The sequence below is a fragment of the Homo sapiens genome, chromosome 14 (assembly GCF_000001405.40).
Source record: "Homo sapiens chromosome 14, GRCh38.p14 Primary Assembly".
NCBI lineage: Eukaryota > Metazoa > Chordata > Mammalia > Primates > Hominidae > Homo > Homo sapiens.
Genome location: NC_000014.9, coordinates 73,193,241 through 73,216,776, shown reverse-complemented (window position 1 = coordinate 73,216,776; position 23,536 = coordinate 73,193,241). Strand labels below are relative to the sequence as shown.

Sequence of the window (23,536 nt, the reverse complement as noted above, 5' to 3'; positions counted from 1 at the left end):
AATATTTTTTTTTTTTTTGAGATGGAGTTTTGCTCTGTGGCCCAGGCTGGAGTACAGCAGCATGATCTCGGCTCACTGCAGACTCTGCCGCCCAGGTTCAAGCGACTTTCCTGTCTCAGCCTCCTGAGTAGGTGGGATTACAGGCGCATGCCACCATGCCTGGCTAATTTTTTTATTTTTGATGGAGACAGGGTTTCACCATGTTGGTCAGGCTGGTCTCGAACTCCTGACCTCATGATCCACCCACCTTGGCCTCCCAAAGTGCTGGGATTACAGACGTGAGCCACCACACATGGCCTATCATCTTATTTTTAAAAAAGCTTCATTGGACTATGATTTACCTCATAAAACTGGAAGACATGATTCAATGATTGTGGAAAATTAATAGAGCTGTACAACTATATATAGAGAGAGCTGTACAATTTAACTATCATCACAATCCACATGTCCATTGCCCCAGTCAGGTACCTTGTACCCGTTTACAGTTAATCCCCACTCCTACCCTAGGCCTTAAGCAACCAGTGATCTGCTTTCTATCTCAATAAATTTGCCTTTTCTAGACATTTCATATGACTCATACAATACATGCCTCGCCTATTTTACTTAATATAATGTTTTTGAGGTTTAACCATGATACTGCATGTGTCTACAGTTTCTTGGAAGTTATTGGAAGCTGAATGGTTTTCCATTATATGGTTTGCTTATCCATTTACCAGTTGATGGACATCTGGATTGTTTTCAATTTGGGGCTATTCTGAATAATGCTGCTATGAACATTTATGTCCATGTCTCTGTGGGGACGGACTGTTTTCATTTCCATTGGGTAGACTCCTGGGGGTGCAATTGCTGGGCTATGTAAGTTTAGGTTTTTAGCTTTTTAATAAACTGCCAAATCACATTCCACACTGGCTGTACCAGTCTGAATTTCCACCAGCAACAATTGAGAGTTCCAGTTTTTTCACATCCTCACCAGCTCTTGGTATTGTTAGCCTTTTTCATTCTAGCCACTCTGATTAATGATGTTGAGCATCTTTTCATGTGCTTTTTAGCCATTATATATCTCTTTTGGTAGAATGTCTAGTCAAAGCATTTCCCTATCTTAAATTTGGGCTATCGTCTTCGTATTAAGTTGTAAGCATCCTTTATATATCCTAAATACAAGTCCTTTAACAGGACTTCAATATGATTTGCATATATTTTCTCTCAGCTGGTAGCTTATTTTCCTTTTTTTTTTTAAGTGATCTCGGCTCACTGAAACCTCCACCTCCCGATTTCAAGCAATTATCCTGCCGCAGCCTCTCGAATAGCTGGGATTACAGACATGCGCCACCACGCCCGGCTAATTTTGTATTTTTAGTAGATATGAGGTTTTACCATGTTGGCCAGGCTGGTCTCAAACTCCAAACCTCAGGTGATCCACCAACCTTGGTCTCCCAAAGTGCTGGGATTACAGGTGTGAGCCACCACACCTGGCCTTATTTTCCACTTCTTAACGGTATTTAAAAAAAATTTTTTTGGCCGGGCACAGTGGCTCACACCTGTAATCCCAGCACTCTGGGAGGCTGAGGTGGGCAGATCACTTGAGGTCAGGAGTTCAAGACCAGCCTGGCCAACATGGTGAAACCTTGTCTCTACTAAAAATATAAAAATTAGCCGGGTATGGTGATGTGTGCCTGTAGTCCCAGCTACTCGGGAGGCTGAGGCAGGAGTATCGCTTGAACCTGGGAGGCAGAGTTGCAGTGAGCTGAGATCCCAGCACTGCACTCCACCCTAGGCAACGAGCGAAATTGTCTCAAAAAATAAAAAAATAATAAAAATTTAACTGTGGTAAGATACCCATCAAGTTTAACATCTTAACCCTTTTTAAGTTCACCGTTCAAAGACACTAGGTATAATCGTATCATTGTGCTACCATTACCATCGTCCATCCACAGAACTCTTTTCATCTTGTAAAACTGAAACTCTACACCCATTAAACGACCCTTCATTTCCCCTCCCCTTAACCCCTGGCAACCACCAGTCTACTTTCTGACTACTCTGATGTAAGTGGAATCATACAGTATTTTTCTTTTTGTAACTAGCTTATTTCACTTAGCACAAAGTACTCAAGATTTATTCATGTTGTAACATGTCAGAATTCCCTTCCTTTTTAAAGCTGAATAATAAAACTGAACAAAAATTTTAATTAGAAATGTAAGACATTTTTATTTATTGTGAAGGTAGTTGGTCTTTTTTTTTTTTTTTTTGAGATGGAGTTTCGCTCTTGTTGCCCAGGCTGGAGTGCAATGGTATGATCTCAGCTCACTGCAACCTCCACCTCCCAGGTTCAAGTGATTCTCCTGCCTCAGCCTCCTGAGTAGCTGGGACTACAGGCATGTGCCACCACAATGGGCTAATTTTGTATTTTTAGTAGAGGTGGGGTTTCTCCATGTTGGTTGGGCTGGTCTCGAACTCCTGATCTCAGGTGGTCCGCCTGCCTTGGCCTTCCAAAGTGCTGGGATTACAGGTGCTTGAGCCACTGCGCCCAGCAATAGTTGGTCTTTTAGTGAATTTCAAGATATACTTCCCACAGCCAACATGCCAGTAACAAGCTCATCCTAAGTGTACTAATGATAGATTGTTTCTTTTTATAACCAAGTAATATTCCATTGTATGAATATACCACATTTATTATCCACTTATCAGTTAATAGACATGTGGGTTGTTTCTGTTTTTACCTGTTATGAACAATATTACTATGACCATTGTATATGTGTCTTTGTGTTGACATATGTTTTAAAATTCTCTTGAGTATATACCTAGGAGTAGAATTACCGGGTCATATTTAATCTTTCAAAGAACTACCGAACTGTTTTCCAAAATCACTATACTATTTTACATTCCCACCAGCAGTGTATGAGGATTCCAGTTTCTTCGCATCCTCACCAACACCTGTTATTGTCTATCTTTTTTATTATAGCCAATCTAGTGAGTATGAAGTGGTTTTGATTTGCATTTCCTTGATGGCTAATGATGCTGAGTATCTTTTTATGTGTTTACAGATCATTTTTACATTTTCTTGGGAGAACTAAACATTCAGATCCTTTGATCAGTTTTCTAATTAAATGTTAAATGTTGACTTTTAACAGATTGCTTTAGAAGACATTTGTGCCTTTTAGCAACTGACCTATAGTGTCAACTGAACCTTTTGGTAAGTACCCACAAGTCTGGTTTAACATGCTCACACCATCAGAGATGGTGACACGTGTGCTGAATGCTAAGATGATGAAGCACGTCCGTTATTACTTTGCATTGGCTTCAGAGAAAGAAAATACTGATCTGAAGTTAGCAGGAGCAATACTTGATAGTTTCACTTTTTTTTTTTTAAAAGTTGGAGACGAAGAGGAGGAGGACACAAAGAGCCCTCTCAGGAGAGGGAATCGTCAAATTAGAAAAGGCAGTCATGAAAGAATTATGCTGCTGCTCTGGTCAACAACTATTATGTTATTTCCTCTGGCTCCTGGTGCCTGTGAGAAAAGAGGAAAGTAGAAGAGGCAACCTAATTACTGTGGTAACTGAGGGCAGAACAAAGTCCCAGCAAAGGCAAGCTAAAGCCTGCTGTAAGAGCAGGCAGATACGTCTACTTTTCCAGGAGTGTGAAAGTCACAGGCTGCAGCTGGGCTTTGATATCTGGAAAACTCAGCCAAGCAGTAAAGTCATGAACATGCCCAGTGAAAGTTCTGACTCAGTTAAAAAACTGAGGACAAGGTGTAAAAAGTGTTCTCCTCAAACTGATGGATATGTCAAGGTCATAATAATTAGTGACTAATGATTAAAGATGCTAAGGAACCTAGGTGTTTGTTTCCTTAAAACTACTTAATATTCTTGTTGTAATGTTTTAATCAAGTTTCACTCTTGCAAAAACAAGACAACCAAAAATAACTTGGTTGGAAAATATGCTAAAGTCTTATTCAATGAACCACATCTCTAAGACTAACTGAAGAGATGACTGAGCCCTAACCAAAGGGCTTTAGTGGCTGATAATGTTCCTAAGAAGCCCTAAGTGTTAACTTAAATCCATCAAGTGGCAACACATCTTAGACACTGAAGAAATACTTGCATTTCTGCCAATATCCTAAATCCCTTTGATTTTCTTTAAAATAAAATATAGCACTTGTCAACAAAAGGAATAATAATGTACAAGGTTGTATCATGCAAATCCACAGATCTCTCTACAGCAGAGTGAGACATATTAATAAAATTTTTGTAGACAAATGTATTACGGCCATGAAGGCTTACTGGAACAATTAAAAAAACAAATCTTTTACTTTATAAAATAAATGCCAAAAGGTCAGGCTGTAAAATGCCAACTTAAAAAGTCTGAAGGGAGGCCAGGTACAGTGGCTCACGCCTGTAATCCCAGCACTTTGGGAGGCTAAGGCAGGCAGATCATGATGTCAGGAGTTCAAGACCAGCCTGCCCAAGATGGTGAAACCCCATCTCTACTAAAAATACAAAAATTATCCAGGCGTGGTGGCGCACGCCTGTAGTCCCAGCTACTTGGGAGGCTGAGGCAGGAGAATCACTTGAACCCGGGAGGTGGAGCTTGCAGTGAGCCAAGATCGCACCATTGCACTCCAACCTGGCGACAGAGCGAGACTCTGTCTCAAAAAAAAAAAAAAAAAAAAAAAAAAAAAAAAAAAAAAAAAGCACTATTACTGATATATCCAAATAAAAGTTACATGTGATATAGAATTAGACTGTAACACTCTCAATTCATTTTATTCTCAAAAAGGTTGATAATGTAGCTACCTAAAGGAATCCATGACTTTGCAACATAGAGAAATGCACATACTTTCCTCTGGGTCTTCACCAGCGAGGATACTGCTGGAAAGTTCCTGGACAGCAGCTCGTGACTCAGGTGTAGAGCGATGAGGCCCTAGATGACTGTCCCTCTGGGCTTCCCATTCCTCACTGAACCCGCCATCATCATTCTCTGCAACAGTGTCTTGTGACTCCCTTTCTGTGCCTTCAAGAGAAAGTGGAAGTTACAGCTCTAATATTTAGAAAAATTTAATACCTTTAAGAAAATTACATGGAAACAGTAACTAGCTGTCATTGTAACTAGCTGGCCCTTAAACCACAAAGCATGGGCTGTAGCAGTGCCTGCTGGTAGTTTATCCAACAGCTATTTTCTCCTTTATTTCCTGAGGGCAGAATCCTGAATTGTTTGGGTTCCCACCCCCTCCCACATGACTCTGGTGGTGAATCCTGACCAAGCCAAGCCAAGCACGGTAATCCCACCAAGCCTCTTCCTAACAAAAGCTCTAAGGTTGTGGGGTTGTAACTTGGTATGAACCTATGAGTGGTGAAGCAAAGTCCACCGGGATTCCTGGGAAAATTTTTCTCACTCTTTAAGAGAGACTAAAGGAAAAAATAAACAGTCCCCTTCTACCCCTGAATGTTGCCTTATCTAGACATGATGCCTAGAACTACAGCTGTCATGACCACGAAGAGCAGTGGGCTGAAGACCAAGCCTATAAACTAGTGATGGTAGAGTAGGAAGTTGGGCTACTTGAAAACATCCCTGAGCCACCAAATTAACCAACCCTACAAATTTCAAATGCCTACACCTCAGGCCTTCCTGTCACGTGAAAGAATAAATTTCTTCTTTGTTTAAGGCAACTGAGTTGGGCTTTTTATCTTTTGCAACTGAAAGCTTCCTAACTGTTGGCACTCATCCCTGGATTTGGTGACAAAATTATAAAAGTGGCTTCATTCTGGAGGGTGGATTGGGAAAGGAGCGGGGAGTGAATGTCTTTATGGGCCAGTCATTTCATTATAATGACTATCAATCTCATTGAAAATGGTGAGCATGATAGTCTTAAAAAACTTCCATACATTAAAAATAATTAAAATATATAAGTGAAGTTCAAAGTACTTTTATTCTTCCTTCATTTTTTATAAAAGTAATACATGTTCAGAGCAGAAGTAGATTTGCCATGAATAAGTAAAGCTTGTAAGCTTCAGGGCCCTTCCTTGCATGGCTTCCTCTGGGAGAGCCCTCACAATTTTGTATTGATAGTTTTGTATTCTTTTTATTATCCAGATCTCCAAAAACCTGAATCTTCTCTGGTTTGGAGTTTATGAAATAATATAAGAATAAGATTTATAAATGAAAACAGCAGTCCCTTTTCTACCCCCTCCCTCCTCACTTCTGATACTCATTCCTACCTTAAACTCTTTTAGCCATCCCTTTTGGTATTTACCTCCATAATTAATTATAAGTAGCATGCTCATTGTGCCATAACTTGATGTTTTAATTTGAGGTACTTATTCACCTCCTATAGAGAAGATAAAGCATTAGGTCTCATCCTTTAGTGCACGCAAATGTAACTCTTCCTGTCTTCCCAGTGCCATAACCTTATATTAAATTCAGCTTTATATTCTCACTATGCAAATAATATTCACAACTAAACTACTTTGCTATAGCCAGAATATACTATAATTACATTTGCTTTTTTGAGCAAGTTTTTGTTTTCTTTGGAAAACTGCCTCATTTTTTTCCACTGATGAATTTTATATTATTATCTATGACTAATTTATCCTGAAATGCTCTGACAGAGCTCAACCACATCAGGTAATCTCTCAGTTCTTTTGTTTGTTTTTTCCTTACACAGATATCCCTCTTGGAGCCCTATGCCCTTTTGTTCCAATGTAACTTCTAGTTCCGTTAACACAGTGATTTTTCAACTAGGGATAGCACCTCCCTTCCGGGGAGTGTTTGGAAATAACTAGGATGGAGGAGTTTTTGATTATTGCAAAGCCTTAAAGCCATTATTGGCATTTAGTGGGTGAGGGGCCAGGGATGTTAAATATCTTGCAATATGAGGGAAAGTCCCACAAAGAACTGTGCCCCCCAAAATACCAGCAGCATTCTCACTGAGGAAGCCTGCAGTTCATCCAGCCTTCTCATTTCAAAGCCCTTGCTCATGTTGTCCCTCTCTTGGAAAGCTCTTCCTCCATCCTTCAGCGGGCCGTCCCCTATTACCACTTCCTCAGGGAAGCACCCCTTGACTTTCCAGGATACGTAAAATTCCCCTATTATAAACTTTCATAGCAACTTATACGTCTTCTTTGTAGTACCTATCACAACTGTATGAATTATTTATGTAATAATTTGTTGACCATCTATCTCTCCAAATAGACTATAAGCTCCACAAGGGCAGGGGAAATCTTGTTCAGTGCTATATCCCCAGGGCCTAGCACATAGTCAGGTGCTCAGTCAACATCTGTAAAATGAATGAAATTCTGTTGTATCACTCACTCACATACATATATACCTACATGCTCACAGACAATCATTTGATTTTCTTTAGCTTAACACAGGTTAACACAAGAGCCAGGCTTGTGGCAATTCTTTCCAGTATATTTCTTACTTTTCTATCAGGTTTACTAGTGGTCTTGATGGCAGCAGCGGCCCATCTGGAGTGGCTGCTGCAAAGATGGCAGCTGCAGCAGGGGAGGTGCAGCTGGGGCAGCATGCTCTGTGAGCTGGCAGGAGCCAGGAACAGGCGGGAGTCCTGCCCCCTTCTGAGTTGGTGGGGCAGAAGTCCCGCACTCCCACAGCTGCAGCTTCCCAGCTGTGGCTGTAGACCTGGGCATCCCTGTGCTCTCAGGGGTCCAGGAAGCCCCTTGCGTCTGCAGGCTCCGATTTCAGAGCAAAGTTGTGGCTGAGGCTGGGTGCTGTCATGACCTGGCCGGGTGTGCGGGCGCTTGGGGCAGCACTGACATGCCAGCCCCCTGCCACCTTGGCCCCCTCTGGACTTTGGGTGCTGACAAGCATGGGAGGGAGACTGAGGAGGGGCTGAAGGCAGCTTACCGTGGGCCTGCAGGCACCCTTTGGCATGAACAGCCTGGGTGCCATGGGAGCTATAGACAGCAGGTTGATGGCAGCAGGAGGCAGACAGGCTCCTAGGCGGAAAGGGGAAGTTCCCTGGTGAAGCACCACCTCAAGTCAGGGAAAGCCTGAAGCCTGGAGGCCAAGCTCCCAGTTCCACAGACCACAGTGAGAACTTATGGTGCATTTTCTGGGCCTGCTCATGGCCACCCATGGACCCATCAGCATGTACTTCCTCCCCTCTGAAGCCCATAAAAACCCCAGACTCAGTCAGACTTGGGCAGATGAAGGGACAACCTGCCTGCAGAAAGAAGCTACCCACTCCGGGTCTCCTCTCCACTGAGGGCTGCAGAGATGATGGGATGACCTGCTTGTGGATAGGAGATACCCATTCCGGGTCTCCTCTCCACTGAGGATTACAGACATCAGGATGACCTGCCTGCAGACAGGAGCTACCCACTCCAGGTCTCCTCTCCACTGAGAGCTGCAGAGACAATGGGACGACCTGCCTGCAGATAGGGTCTCCTGAGAGCTGTACTGTTGCTCAATAAAGCACCTTTTCATCTTGCTCTCCCTCCAGCTGTCCACGTACTTCATTCTTCCTGGATGCAGGACAAGAACTTGGGACCCATTGAATGGCAGGATTGAAAGAACCGTAAGACAAACAGGGCTGAAACGTGCCCCCCACTTGCCACGTTGCAGGTGGCGAGAAGGAGAGAAGAGAGGAGTGAAGAGATGTGGCCCTTCGGGGAGTCCAGACTCAGGAGTTCCCTAAGCCAGGGCTATGACCCCCCTCTTTGGGGTTCTGCAGTTCCTGGCATCTCCAAGCTTCTGGGTGCCCCTGTGTTCCCCAGGTTAACACAAGGTTAACACAAGAGCCAGGCTTGTGGCAATTCTTTCCAGTATATTTCTTACTTTTCTATCAGGTTTACTAGTGGTAGTGGCCTGTAGTCAAAGCTGCTTAGGTAATGCCTGGTCTAGCTGCAGCAGGGAGCTAGTACCTGAGGCTGCCTGCCCTGCTGCAGCCAGCATGCCTGGCTGTGTGCAGTGGCTGGACCCTGCACTCACTTGCTCATGCACTCCTCGCTGCTCCATGCCTGGCTTGCCTTTGGCAGGCATGGGGTCCAGCTGGTAGAGAAAGCCAAGCATAGCCAGCTAGGCTGAGTAGGTGGAATGAGCCCAGTGGGCCTGAGCAAATCTCAGGAAAAGGTGCCACCAGCCACAGAGGTTTCTGGCTAGCAAAGTCACACCCTAAGGATCCCGTGAGAGTCTAACATGACCTTGTTCTGCTGCCTTGCTTACTGTATAATAAAGACTCACATCTCTGAGTTCCAAATAGGAATTCCTGGTTGAAAGTATCTTCCTTGCAGTTGCCTAAATGCTAACTCTGTAGATTTCCTGGCTTTATAAAACATAAACTCTCCCTTTCCTGACAAACAGCAACTCAATTAAGGCCTTTTTTTCCTCACCAATATTTACTGTGCCTGTTGTTTTTCAGATTCCTCATAAAAGTTAGCCCTTTTTTTAGACTATTTATATTGTGCTGTTATTCCTCAACCCTTTCTTTTTTTTTTTAGTGTGTGTGGGAAGGTAGCCTCCATTCCAGAAAACTGAATGAAAGCTCCCCCTCAACTCCATCTAATAACAACTTCTAACTTGTGTTCTCCTTAATATGTTCTGTAGTATCCTTAGAGGGCCTTTCACTCTCTTATCCTAAGTCATTATTATTATTCATTATTATTATTATTTTTGAGGTAAGGTATAAGTTGCCCAGGGTAATCCGGAACTCCTTAGCTCAAGTGATCCTCTTGCCTTGGCCATGTAGCTGGGACTACAGGCACACATCACTGCACCCAGCTCATCCTAAGTCATTCTTATCCTCTTCTAAAAAGTCATATCCACCTAGAATATTTGATCTTCTCAGTATACACATCAGCACATCTCAAATCATATTTCAGTTATTCTGGCCATGTTAGACAAGAGGTTCTCATTTTTATGTTGTTTATATTTTGCTTTTTTTGTTTACTTATTTTTCCTTTATTGTCTGTTTCTTTTTTGTTTCTTTTAGGAGATTCTTACTTTTACATGTTTGGAGAGAGTTTATTTTTTCTTTTTAAAATCATGACTTATAAAAAACAAACAAAAAACAAAAACAAAATCATAACCTCAGCCTGAACCTTTCCATGCTGGTATTCTGTATTTAATGGGAGGTGTCTTAACCTAGGATGCTTTGACTGTATTGTTGGGTTTTGAGTATCTGAACTCCTTAAATACTTATCTGTGTATTTACTGGGCATTATCATAGTTCTCAAGAGATTCTCAAAGGAGTCTATGACCAAAGAAAGACGATAAAAACATTGCTATACTGTTAGCTTATAACAGTGACCCTGAAAAATCAAGATATTATCTAATAAAAGTTACCTACTTTCTGCATTATACTTGGAATTTTTGGATACTCTCCTTTGAGCTTCCGGGTCTCCTTCTGCCATATTCACCAACCACACCATTGTTGCTGTTGGGAAAGACAAAATTCCAGGTAAGCACTGGACACACAAAGTATGCATAGACAACAACAAGCCATCATTTCTCCACACAAATCGCCAGTCTTCCTAATGCTGCCTTAAGACTGTTCAACAATCAGAAGTAAAAATAAAAAAAAGGTTCTCTTTGGTTTTAGCAGGTAAGAGAAGAAGTTCTGAAACTGAATGTTTACTGTAGTACTCAAACTGCACCTGCTATCACAAAACTCTTCATCATTTTTAGTCCCTGAAAAGGAACCAGAAGGAAAACTGTTCAGGCCAGCAAGATTCCACTGAAACAATAGCTGGACTAGTTGAATGTTCTAAATTCCAGGACAAACTGGAGCTCACAAAAGCCTCAGATGGTGATTATAATTCAAAAGATGCACAGAGTAAATTTCCTTCATATTATGTCTCATTTTTAGAATGTTCAATAATGCTAAACCATGTTTTAAACCCGGCGTGAGAAAAAACGTTAAAAGCAATAAACATAATAGGGATAGTCAAGAGGCCTCCTCTGTGCCCCTTCTACAAAAATACATGTATATCAATATATCAATCTAGATCTAGATATACACATGTGCATCTCTACCACATTTTAGTTCAGAGACATTGTGAAAACTTTAAAATGGTGCTTCTCTCATATATTTCAGGCAGGAATGAAAAATGGTATAATCCCCACTGGAGGGAAATTTGGTAACATCTAATAAAACTACATGTGCATTAATCCTTTAACCCAGCAATATTACATTTTGGAACTTATCCTGAAGATACACCAACAATAACACAAAAGTACATATAAGCAAACACATGACATATGAGGTTATGGTGGGAACCAAATGCCAGCAGCAAGCTGAGTCCAATCTGGTCACAGTAATTTTTTTTTTTTTTTTTTTTTTTGAGACAGAGTCTTGCTCTGTCACCCAGGCTGGAGTACAGTGGCATGATCTCGGCTCACTGCAAGCTCCGTCTCCTGGGTTCACGCCATTCTCCTGCCTCAGCCTCCCGAGTAGCTGGGACTACAGGCGCCCGCCACCATGCCTGGCTAATTTTTTGTATTTTTTTTAGTAGAGGTGGGGTTTCACTGTGTTAGCCAGGATGGTCTCGATCTCCTGACCTCGTGATCCGCCCGCCTCAGCCTCCCAAAGTGCTGGGATTACAGGCGTGAGCCACCACGCCCGGCCTGGTCACAGTAATTTTAAACAAGATACTTGACATTTATGTCTCTCTGGCTTTTTATCACAATAATTTTATCCATGTTTCTAATACTCAGGCTTCTTGAAGAACTTATGAAAGAAACACACAATCAAAGAAGCTGAACGACCACCTTGTTATTTCTGAGGTCAACCAAGTTTCATTATAGGATAACCCAACCAAATGATCAAAAGTTAACAGAAACCAGGCAGGCAATACACTGTTTAACTAAATCCAGATCTAAAGAAGAAAAACTGAAGGGCAACCACCAAGTATGAGGTTTATGGATTAGTTTTTTATCTTCATTTTTTCTAAAAACAGGGTCTCACTACGTTGCCCAGGCCAGACTCAAACTCCTGGGCTCAAGCAATCCTCCCGCCTCAGCCTCCCAAAGTGCTAGGATTACAGGCATGAGCCACTGCACCCAGCCTGTTTATGGATTTCCATAGCCTTTTGGAAATGAAGCCACCAGCGATTTATTAGGTTTTCTTTCTTTATGCAAGTATGAAAAAATATAGCTACAAGCTCCTTTGTTTTAGCAGTTAATAGTAACATGAAAATCAATGTCCAGCTAACTTTTTCTGTAAATGGCCAGGGAGTAAACATTTCAGGTTTTGTGTGTCACATATTCTTCCTTGTTCTTTTTTTTTTTTTTTAAATGTAAAAAGCATTTTTAGCTTATAAGCTGTACAAAAACAAGCCATGGGCCATATTTGGCTTCAAGCAGTAGTTTGCTAACCCCATGTTAATTATCATAAATAGTATATTTGTTAAATAGTCCTAAAATAATATTTTTTTAAAAATCACTTTTCATTTCACCTTAACACAAACACCTTACATCAACAGGAAAATAAGCAGATTTCGTTTAAATTAAAAAAAAAAAAAAAGGCCAGGCATGGTGGCTCACACCTGTAATCCCAGCACTTTGGGAGTCGGAGGTGGGTGGATCACCTGAGGTCAGGAGTTCAAGACCAGCCTGACCAACATGGAGAAACCCTGTCTCTACTAAAAATACAAAATTAGCCCGGTGTGGTGGTGCATGTCTATAATCCCGGCGACTCGGGAGGCTGAGGCAGGAGAATTGCTTGAATCCAGGAGGCGGAGGCTGTGGTGAGCCGAGATCGTGCCATTGCACTCCAGCCTGGGCAATGAGAGCGAAACTCTGTCTCAAAAAAATAAAATAAAAAATAAATACAAAAAAATATGTTTTTTAATGTAGTCTAGGGTGGTCTTGAATTCCTGGGCTCAAGCAATCCTCCTGCTTCTACCTCCCAAAGTCCTGGGATTATAGTCATGCCTGGCTGGAAAATATGCAGATTTAAAAATTAACATAATATACCCGCCCCCAACTGATATGAAATCAAAAAGCTTTAGATAAAATGATCTACCTCAAGGAATTGTTAGTTTCCCTTCTAGTTAAGCTCCCAGAGTGAACCACTTCTACTAATGACCACTAGGTAAGAATAAATTAGCTCAAAGAGTAGGTGTATATTTTTTCTGTCAAACGACAGAAGTAAAAAACAAAAATGCTCATACATTTCCTGTCAGTAAGAGCATTTTGCAAACTGAATACCCTTAACTGGGAGACAGTATTAAAATGCATGAAAGAATTATTTATTGATTTTTAGAGAACAAATAGCCAGGATGACTGATTTAAAACTTTTTATATTCATGCTTATATCCACTTCAGGGAAAAAGTACTCATCGGCATTGCGTTGTGGTTTTCTTACATTCTGTTAAAAATGTAAGAAAAATGTAAGAAAAAATTCTTACATTCTGTTGAAAAAACAAAACGAAGGCCAGGTGCGGTGGCTCATGCCTGTAATCCCAGCACTTTGGGAGGGTGAGGCGGGTAGATCACCTGAGGTCACAAGTTTGAGACCAGCCTGGCCAACATGGTGAAACCCTCTCTCTACTAAAAATACAAAAATACAAAAAATTAGCTGGGCGTGGTGGCAGGCGTCTGTAATCCCAGCTACTCAGGAGGCCGAGGCAGGAGAATCGCTTGAACCTGGGAGGCGGAGGTTGCAGTGAGCCGAGATTGTGCCATTGCACTTCAGCCTGGGCAACAAGAGTGAAACTCCATCTCAAAAACAAAAACAAAAAAACCTCTCAAACTCAATGATTTATATAAAATCCTCAAATCTTCACCAGACATTTAGTATTACAAAAGAACAGATGCAATCTTGAACCTACCTGATCTACACAGGAGGTAAGGGTTTATACTCCTATTTTCCCACATATGTTGAACTGTTTCTAAAACATCTCAGAATGTCTCATATTCTGTGGTTATTAAATAGACTTGAGAACTTTTAAAAAAATACATGCAAATCATCTGTATCATTCCAATTTTACTATTATGTGCTGCTAAAGCGAGCACAGACGTTGAGTTTTAAAAATATTATATATGATAGGCTGGGCACGGTGGCTCACGCCTGTAATCCCAGCACTTTGGGAGGCCGAGGAGGGCAGATTACGAGGTCAAGAGATCGAGACAATCCTGGCTAACACGGTGAAACCCCGTCTCTACTAAAAATACAAAAAATTAGCCAGGCATGGTGGCGGGCGCCTAGAGTCCCAGCTACTCGGGAGGCTGAGGCAGGAGAATGGCGTGAACCCGGGAGGTGGAGCTTGCAGTGAGTCGAGATCACGCTACTGCACTCCAGCCTGGGTGACAGAGCAAGACTGTCTCAAAAAAAAAAAAAAAAAAAAAAAAAAAAAATATATATATATATATATATATATATATATATATATATATATATAGTATGTGATAGATATTTTAAAACAGAGTAAATGCTTCTTTCTGAGTATTAAATTAACATACATGTTTAATGTTGCTGCAGACTGAAAGTCTGGTCCTAATTCCTCACCCATCTCTGTACTCACACTTTTGCCACGGACTCACTTTGAGTAGAATGTATTTTCCCTTCTCCCAACCTGTGGCTCAACTAAAAATATGGAAAAAAAAAATTAGCCAGGTATAGTGGCGCATGCTTGTAATCTCAACTACTCGGGAGGCTGAGGCAGGAGAATTGCCTGAACCCAGGAGATGGAGGTTGCAGTGAGCTGAGATTGCGCCACTGCACTCCAGCCTGGGCAACAGAGCAAGACTTACCTCAAAAATAAAATAAAACAGGTCGGGTGCAGTGGCTCACGTCTGTAATCCCAGCACTTTGGGAGGCCGAGGCAGGTGGATCACTTGAGGTGGGGAGTTCAAGGCCAGCCTGGCCAATGTGGCGAAACCCCAACTCTACTAAAAATACAAACATTAGCCGGATGTGGTGGTGGGTGCCTATAATCCCAGCTACTCCGGAGGCTGAGACAGGACCATTGCTTGAACTTGGGAGGCGGGGGTTGCAGTGAGCCAAGATCACACCACTGCACTCTAGCCCGAGCAACAGAGCAAGACTCTGTTTCAAAAAAAATAAATAAATAAAATAAAATGGAACCTTCCCTCTCCTTGAAACACCTTTCCTGAAACCTGTTCTCCTGTCAGGTCACCACCTGCTCTGCCTGTGAGACAGGAATCTTTGATGTAGTACATGACATTTACTATACCTCTCCTTCTTCACCACCCATTCTCTGCCTACACCATCACTTCCACTGCCAGCACTGGCAAAACACAGAGACATGCATGCACACATACGCACCTTCCCTTTGGAGTACTGCTTCTGGTTCTATCACTCTACTGAAACTGCTCTCTTCAATGTCACTAATGACATCTTAGACAGCAAATACTGTATGGTTTTACTTAGTCCTCATTACCTTTGACTTCTTTATAAAAAATGATATTCTCGGCCAGGCGCGGTGGCTCACGCCTGTAATCCCAGCACTTTGGGAGGCCGAGGCGGGCGGATCACAAGGTCAGGAGATCGAGACCATCCTGGCTAACATGGTGAAACCCCGTTGCTACTAAAAATACAAAAATTAGCCGGGCGTGGCGGCGTGTGCCTGTAGTCCCAGCTGCTGGGGAGGCTGAGGCAGGAGAATGGCTGAACCCAGGAGGCGGAGCTTGCAGTGAGCCGAGATCGCCCCACTGAACTCCAGCCTGGGCGACACAGCAAGACTCTGCCACAAACAAACAAACAAACAAACAAACAAACAAAAAGATATTCTCTTTTTTTGGGAGGGTGGGGATGAAGCCTTGCTGTCACTCAGGCTGGAGTGCAGTGGCACGATCATGGCTCACTGTAACCTCCGCCTCCTGGGTTCAAGTGATCCTCCCACCTCAGCCTCCCAAGTAACTGGGATTACAAGTGTGCACCACCACACCCAGCTGATTTTTATATTTTTAGTAAAGACAGAGTTTCACCATGTTGGCCAGGCTGGTTTCAAACTCCTGACCTCAAGTGATCCGCCCACCTAGGCCTCCCAAAGTGCTGGGATTACAGGTGTTAGCCACCACGCCCAGCCTCTCTCCTTCTTGAAACTGCTTTTCCAGTAACTCAACAGAAAAATTGGCAAAAAAAATCTACAAGGATATACAACAAACTGACAACAGGGGTAAGTACTTGATAAGGCATTAAGATTAGAGATGATAGTTACCGTGAAATTTATTTTTATCTGTAATGTTTATCCTTTTTCAAGGATAATGAATTACTTGTATAATTAAGATTAATTTTACAGGGCTGGGAGCAGTGGCTCACACCTGTAATACTAATGCTTTGGGAGTCTGAGGCAGTTGGATCACTTGAGACCAGCCTGGCCAACGTGGTGAAATCCCGTCTCTACTAAAAATACAAAAATCAGCCAGGCGTGGTGGCATGCGCCTGTAATTCCAGCTACTTGGGAGGCTGAGAGAGGAGAATTGCTTGAACCTGGGAGATGGAGGTTGCAGTGAGTTGAGATTGCGCCACTGTACTCCAGCTTGGGTGACAGAGAGAGACTGTCTCACACACACACAAAAAAGATTAATTTCACAAATATGAAAAAGATTATACCAAGCCAGTTACAAAATAAATTCAGATCTGTAACTAAGAAACACATGAAAAAAAGTTCAAATAATCACCCAAAGCATTAGACAAACAATAAAAAATAAAACAAGATGTTATTTTTTTGCCTATTAGATCTCTTTCTCTCTCAGACACACACACATGCATGTATGCACAGACACAGGCAAGCATTAACAAAGCAGTGGCCGGGCATGGTGGCTCACAGCTATAATCCTGGCATTTTGGGAGGCCTAGGCAGGCGGATCACCTGAAGTCAGGAGTTCGAGACCAGCCTGGTCAACATGGTGAAACCGTGTCTCCACTAAAAATACAAAAAATTAGCTGGGTGTGGTGGCACACGCCTGTAATCCCAGCCACTCCGGAGGCTGAGGCAGGAGAACTGCTTGAACCCAGGAGGCGGAGGTTGCAGTGAGCCGAGATCGCACCACTGCACTCCAGCCTGCATGACAGAGCGAGACTCAGTCTCCAAAACAAAACAAACCAAAACACCAAAGGGGTAAGGAAATTGATACTTTCATATTACTGAAGGGAATGTAAACAGGCACAGCTTTTTTAGGAGGCAATATGGCAAACTATCAAAATTTAAATACATCCTTTGACTTAGCAATTCTACTGTAAGAATACATTTTATAATAATATTCATAAGTTCATGGATGCACTCTGTAAGTGCTGTCTGTGATAGAAAATAAATGGAAATGATCTAAATGTCTATCAATGAGGATACCCACCACTGAATATCTACGTAAGAGAACACTATGCAGCCATTTCATGTGCTGACATCAAAAAACAGTAATGATATTCTTAAGTGAAAAATACTGGCTTGCCCAATTTTCCACTATTTTCCTCTACTTCCTGTAGTATCCTCTCTTGTCTCATTCTCTAAACACAGTAGTTGACAAAGTTTGACCCTTGTCTTCCTCTTCTCTTCTGCTTTTATTTGAATTGCTCACCAGCTCACAGACCTTAACTACCAACTCTCTGCTAATGTTCTTCAAGTCTCTATCTCAAATATCAACTTTTTCCCAAGCTCTAGTATTTCATTTCTAAACGTCTGCTAGCAATGTCTACCTAGTGACCCACAGGTACTGTCAACTAAATTAGATATGAGCCACAGAAAGATATAAAACTAAACAGATCCTTCACACAAGAAAACATGGCCAGGCGTGGTAGCTCACACCTGTAACTCAAGCACTTTGTGAAGTCAAGGCAGGAGGATCGCTTAAGCCGAGGAGTTCAAGACCAGCCTGGGCACATGGCAAAACCCAGTCTCTACACACAACACAAAAAAATTAGCCAGGCCTGGTAGTGCGTGCCTGTAGTCACAGCTACTCGGGAGGCTGAGGTGGGTGGATCACCTGAGCCTGGGAGGTCGAGGCTGCAGTGAGCCATGATCACACTACTGTACTCCATCCTGGATGGGAGTGAGACCCTATCTCAACAACAACAACAAGAAAACACAGGAAAGCATTTTTTCTTCATCACCTTTCCTTCAAGCTTACAACTTCTCTCCTCAGTTGCTAGAACTATTGATTCTACCTCTGAATCCTCTGATCAACTCTTTCCCTTGATTGCTACTGCCACTACCATAATTCAAACCCCCATTACTTTCCACCTAGATCATGGCAATATCATCTTAATTATGCTTAGTATGCCTCTCATGATCTCAGTATCCAACCCACCAATTCATCTCACACAGTGCTGCCAGCTTACAAAGGCACGGCTCTGCTCACATTACCCTTCTGCTCAACAATCTCAGTTCCCCAGTGGTCACCGAATAGCAGAAAGACATCTAAACCAGTCACTCAAAGGAATCCTTGAGCTTGCCCTAATCAACAACTCCTAACAGGTTTTAAAATGGGAATGCTGGTTCCCCAATATCTAAACATTTTCTTTCTTTCTATTCATATTGAAAACTCTCTTGAATCAACATCAGGTAGAAGACAATTGCTTGCAAGGAAACAAAGAGATCTGCAGGAGTTCCAGGAATGCTGTGCATTTAAGATGAGAACAAGTACCATGAAAATGACCATAGTTACATGTGCTTCAGTTCCGATAAATTCTACACTGATTACTAATTCAATATCCTTCTCAAATACTTACAGGAGTAAATGAGAGCTGGAAAAAGCGTTTCATTTCTCTCCTGAGCTGTTTCAACCAGCATACGAAGTGGACCTTTCGGACACAAAACAGCCACTAAATCTAGAAAAAGAAAAACATAAAAGACATCTAATAAAATGTATGGGCTAAACTTGTAAATGGGTGGTAGGGAGGAATTAACGAAGGAAAAAAGTTTAATGTTTTTTGTCTCTTTTTACACAAAAAGACGTTGAATGAATATGAAATAAATGGCAGGTGAACTGGTGGGGGTGGGGGAGACAACATAAACAAAATAAAATGACACAGAACATCTGTAAAAATTTCATTTGGGTTTGACTGCTATTTGCTTAGTGTACAGTGTATCGTTACTGGGGTATAGGAACAAGTCTTCCTAGTTTAAAGGAAAGCTGCAGAGATAATGATGAGATAGACTATTTTAAGCAGTTGTCAACCTACAGTGAGCAGAAACAGGGAGAAGTCACTTCTAAACTAATCACGGATATGAACTACAAATTAAAAAGATTACTCTGAGATGAATTTAATAAAGGGGATTTGACTGAACTTTTCAAAATATGAAGAGCAGAGTAGAAGAAATTCATCCCTTCTCCTTTTTAAAAGCAGTATTACGTACTACTGAGAAGTACTTGAAGTAAGAGGGCAGTAAATTTAAATAAAACACAATAATAACTCTTTGCGAGATAAAGTTTATTACTTCTTTACTCTTTGGTCACAAATATTCAGGTCTCAGAACATATGTATGTGGTGCTGAAAAGTAGCTTATTTTACAAAAATAATAAATCAGAGAGGAAACAACATGCCTGTTATTCCTGTTTATACCACCATTTCTTTCGATCAACTGCACTTTTTCTTTCATTCTCTGTCATGAAAATTCAGCATATAGGCCGGGCGCAGTGGCTCACGCCTGCAATCCCAGCACTTTGGGAGGCCGAGGTGGGCGGATCACAAGGTCAGGAGATCAAGACCATCCTGGCTAACACGGTGAAACCCTGTCTCTACTAAAAAATACAAAAAATTAGCTGGGTGTGGTGGCGCGTGCCTGTAGTCCCAGCTACTCGGGAGGCTGAGGCAGGAGAACGGCGTGAACCCGGGAAGCGGAGCTTGCAGTGCGCCGAGATTGCGCCACTGCACTCCAGCCTGGGCAATACAGCGAGACTCCGTCTCAAAAAAAAAAAAAAAAAAGAAAGAAAGAAAGAAAATTCAGAATATAAAAATATAAAAATAATTTTAAACACTGAAAAATATAAAACAGGTATAGCTAAACTTGTAAAGGAAGAATTGATAACTTGTATTCACATTATTGTCACTTAAATGCATTTACATTTAAAAATTTCATGTCTTGCCAGGCACAGTGGCTTATGCTTGTAATTCCAGCACTTTGGGGAGGCTGAGGCAGCAGATCACTTGTGCTCAGGAGTTTGAGACCAGCCTGGCCAAGATGGCAAAACCCCGTCTCTACCAAAAATACAAAAAATTAGCAGCTCATGGTGGCAGGTGCCTATAGTCCCAGCTACTCAGGAAGCTGAGGTGGGAGGATTGCTTGAGCCCTGGAGGTGGAGGCTGCAGTGAGCCAAGATGGCGCCACTGCCTAGGTGACAAAGTAAGACCGTGCCTCAAAAAAAAAAAAAAAAAAAAAAAAATTTCATGCCTCAAAGTGGTCATGTCTCTTCATATAATAATATATATGTACAATATAATATAGTATATATAGAACTATAATATAATATAGTACAGTAATAAAACACACATACACAAAGAAATCTCTACTCTCACCACTTCTACCTCAATTTGTTTGAATGAGAAGTCTGCCCTGCTCTGAAGTGATGAGATTTTCAACTTGTTTGATTCTGCCACATTCAGTACTATTTCAGTTTTATGATACACTCTCCCTTAAAGAATTGCTAAATGATAAATCTGCTTATTTTTTAGAGCAATTAAATTAAAATTGCTTTTGCTTTGAAAATTTCAGAACTTTTTTGACAAATTAAATCTTGAAATCTTGTAAAAATGGAGCCGAGAATCACTACTCTAAACATTGGGTACAAAAATCTCTTTTGTTTAAAAGCAACTCAAAGCTCTGTAGAGATACTCATTTGTATGATGTGCAGACAGAATGGAGGGTTGATGGTAAAAATATTGTAATACGGTGAAAAGAATATTGGACTTGGGATTCAGATTCGAGATCAGAGTTTAGGCTTAGGCAAATAATTTACCTCTGTAAACTTCAAGTTTCTTAGCAGTAAAACAGGGATAATAACTGCCTTGATACTTCATAGGATTATACAAAAATATAACACTGGGCTGGGTATAGTGGCTCACACCTGTAATCTCAGCACTTTGGGAGGCTGCTTGAAGCTAGGAGGTCAACACCAACCTGTGCCTGTAGTCTTATCTACTCGGGAGGCTGAGACAGGAGGACTGCTTGAGCCCAGGCTTTTGAAGCTACAGTGAGCTATAATCGTGCCACTTCACTCCAGCCTGGGAGACAGAGTGAGATCCTGTTTCTTAAAACAGAAAAAAATTTACTGATAGACATTGTTCTAAGTGTATTATTGTATTAAATGGATCATTTAATTTAATCTTCATAACTGACATAGGAGTTGAGTAACTTGTGTGGTCAAATAGCTAGTAAGTGATGAGTAGGCTGGGCGCAGTGGTTCAAGCCTGTAATCCCAGCACTCTGGGAGGCTGAGGCAGGCAGATCACTTGAGGTCAGGAGTTTGAGACCAGCCTGGCCAACATGGCAAAACCTCGTCTCTACTAAAAATACAAAAATTAGCTGGGCGTGGTGGTGCGCACTTGTAGTCCCAGCTACTCGGAAGGCTGAGGCAGGAGAATCGCTTGATCCCGGGAGGGAGAGGTTGTAGTGAGCTGAGATCACGCCACTGCACTCCAGCCTGGGCAACAAAGCGAGACTCTATCTCAAAAAAAATAAAAATAAAAAGTGATGAGTAGAATTTGAACCCAGACATTCTGTCTCCAGACCTGGCATTCTTACTCACAGCTAAGCAAGAATAGATGGTTACTTTGCAAACCATCAAGTACTATACAACATAAGGTAATTATGAAAGTCAGAGAGAGTATATGACTTCTATAGTTCCACAACTGATTACTCAAATACAAGAACAGAACCAGTTCAATCCTATTTCCACAGACTTCTTCGTCAATCAAATGAGGATGATGTTTCCTATTACAGGCCACCAAACATTTTAGTAAGTATGTAAATAATGACAAAAGTGTATGGCCAGGCCGGGCACGGTGGCTCATGCCTGTAATCCCAACACTTTGGGAGGCCGAGGCAGGTGAATCATGAGGTCAGGAGATCGAGATCATCCTGGCTAACATGGTGAAACCCCGTCTCTACTACAAATACAAAAAAATAGCCGGGCGTGGTGGCAGATGCCTGTAGTCCCAGCTACTTGGGAGGCTGAGGCAGGAGAACGGCATGAACCTGGGAGGCGAAGCTTGCAGTGAGCCAAGATCACGCCACTGCACTCCAGTCTGGGCGACAGAGCCAGACTCCGTCTTGAAAAAAAAAAAAAAAAAAAGTGTATGGCCAGGCATGGTGGCTCATGCCTGTAATCCCAACACTTTGGCAGGCCAAGGTGGGAGGATCGCTTGAGGCCAGGAGTTCCGGACAAGCCTGGGAAACACAGTGAGATCTCATCTCTGAAAAAAAATTTTTTTTTAAAAAATTAGGCATGGTAGTGCATGCCTGTAGTTCTATCTACTTTGAAGGCTGAGGTGGGAGGATTGTTTGAGCCCAGGACAAGGGTTTGAGGCTGCAGTAAGCCACGTTCATGCCACTGTACTCTAGCGTGGATGACAGAGAGAGATCCTGTCTTTGGAAGAAAAAAACAAAAAGAAAAAAAAAAGAGTATGGCCATGGCCTTATAATATAGAAGGGGTCACATATTAATCTCTGAAAATGGATCTCTTTTTGGCTTTCATACAAGGCAACAGCCACAGAGTACGTACCTGAAAGCTGCCTGGGTTAATGGCTGGAGTATGTTCTAACTGTTCAGGACCCATGTCACACTGGTGGTTACAGAATGTGAATCTCACACTGTCCAAATCGGTTTTATTTTTAAAAGAATAATTCTATACATTACCTTATAAAAAGTAGGTAACCTAATTTTGATTTTAAAAGTGAATTGAGGCCAGATGCAGTGGCTCACACCTATAATCCCAATACCTTGAGAGGCCAAGGTAGGAGGATTGCTTGAGCCCAAGAGTTCAAGACCAGCCTAGGCAATATAGCAAGACGTTCTCTCTACAAAAAATAAACAAGTTAGTCAGGCATGGTGGTGCACACCTGTAGTTCTAGCTACTTGAGAGGCTGAAGTGGGAGGATCGCATGAGCCAGGGAGTTCAAGGTTGCAGTGAGCTATGACTGTGCCACTGCACCCCAGCCTGGGTGACACAGCAAGACTTTGTCTCAAAAAAAAGAAAAAAGCTTCTGCAGTAAGATATAAAGGAAAAAAATCGTTTAAAAAATGAATTGAGCATTTTGTGTGTCTACCACTCTGCTTGTGCTTTTTTTTTTTTGCTTTTTTTTTTTTTTTGAGACAGAGTCTCGCTCTGTCACCCAGGCTAGAGTGCAGTGGCACCATCTCGGCTCACTGCAACCTCCACTTCACTTCCTGGGTTCAAATAATTCTCCTGCCTCAGCCTCTCAAGTAGCTGGGAATACAAGGGTACGCCACCACACCCAGCTAATTTTTGTATTTTTAGTAGAGACGGGGTTTCACCATATTGGCCAGCTTGTCAAAACCTCAAAAAGCTTGAAAAACCAAATTTTTTTTGAGACAAGGTCTTGTTCTATCACCCAGGCTGGAATACAGTGATGCAATCATGGCTCACTGCAGCCTTGA

The 23,536-nt window shown here is 41.9% G+C and overlaps 1 protein-coding gene across 10 annotated transcripts in view; it reads right to left on the bottom strand.

The window, feature by feature from the left end:
* The window catches only part of PSEN1 (presenilin 1), an 87,275-nt gene that overhangs the window by 6,915 nt on the left and 56,824 nt on the right, over positions 1-23,536 (bottom strand). For all 10 annotated transcript variants that reach the window (XM_047431602.1, XM_047431601.1, XM_047431600.1 and 7 more), the window contains exons 8-10: positions 18,648-18,746; positions 10,305-10,391; positions 4,835-5,008 (exon numbers count right to left, since the gene is read on the bottom strand). In XM_047431602.1, the coding sequence (XP_047287558.1) occupies positions 4,835-5,008; positions 10,305-10,391; positions 18,648-18,746 (360 nt within the window). The remainder of the gene's footprint in view (positions 1-4,834; positions 5,009-10,304; positions 10,392-18,647; positions 18,747-23,536) is intronic.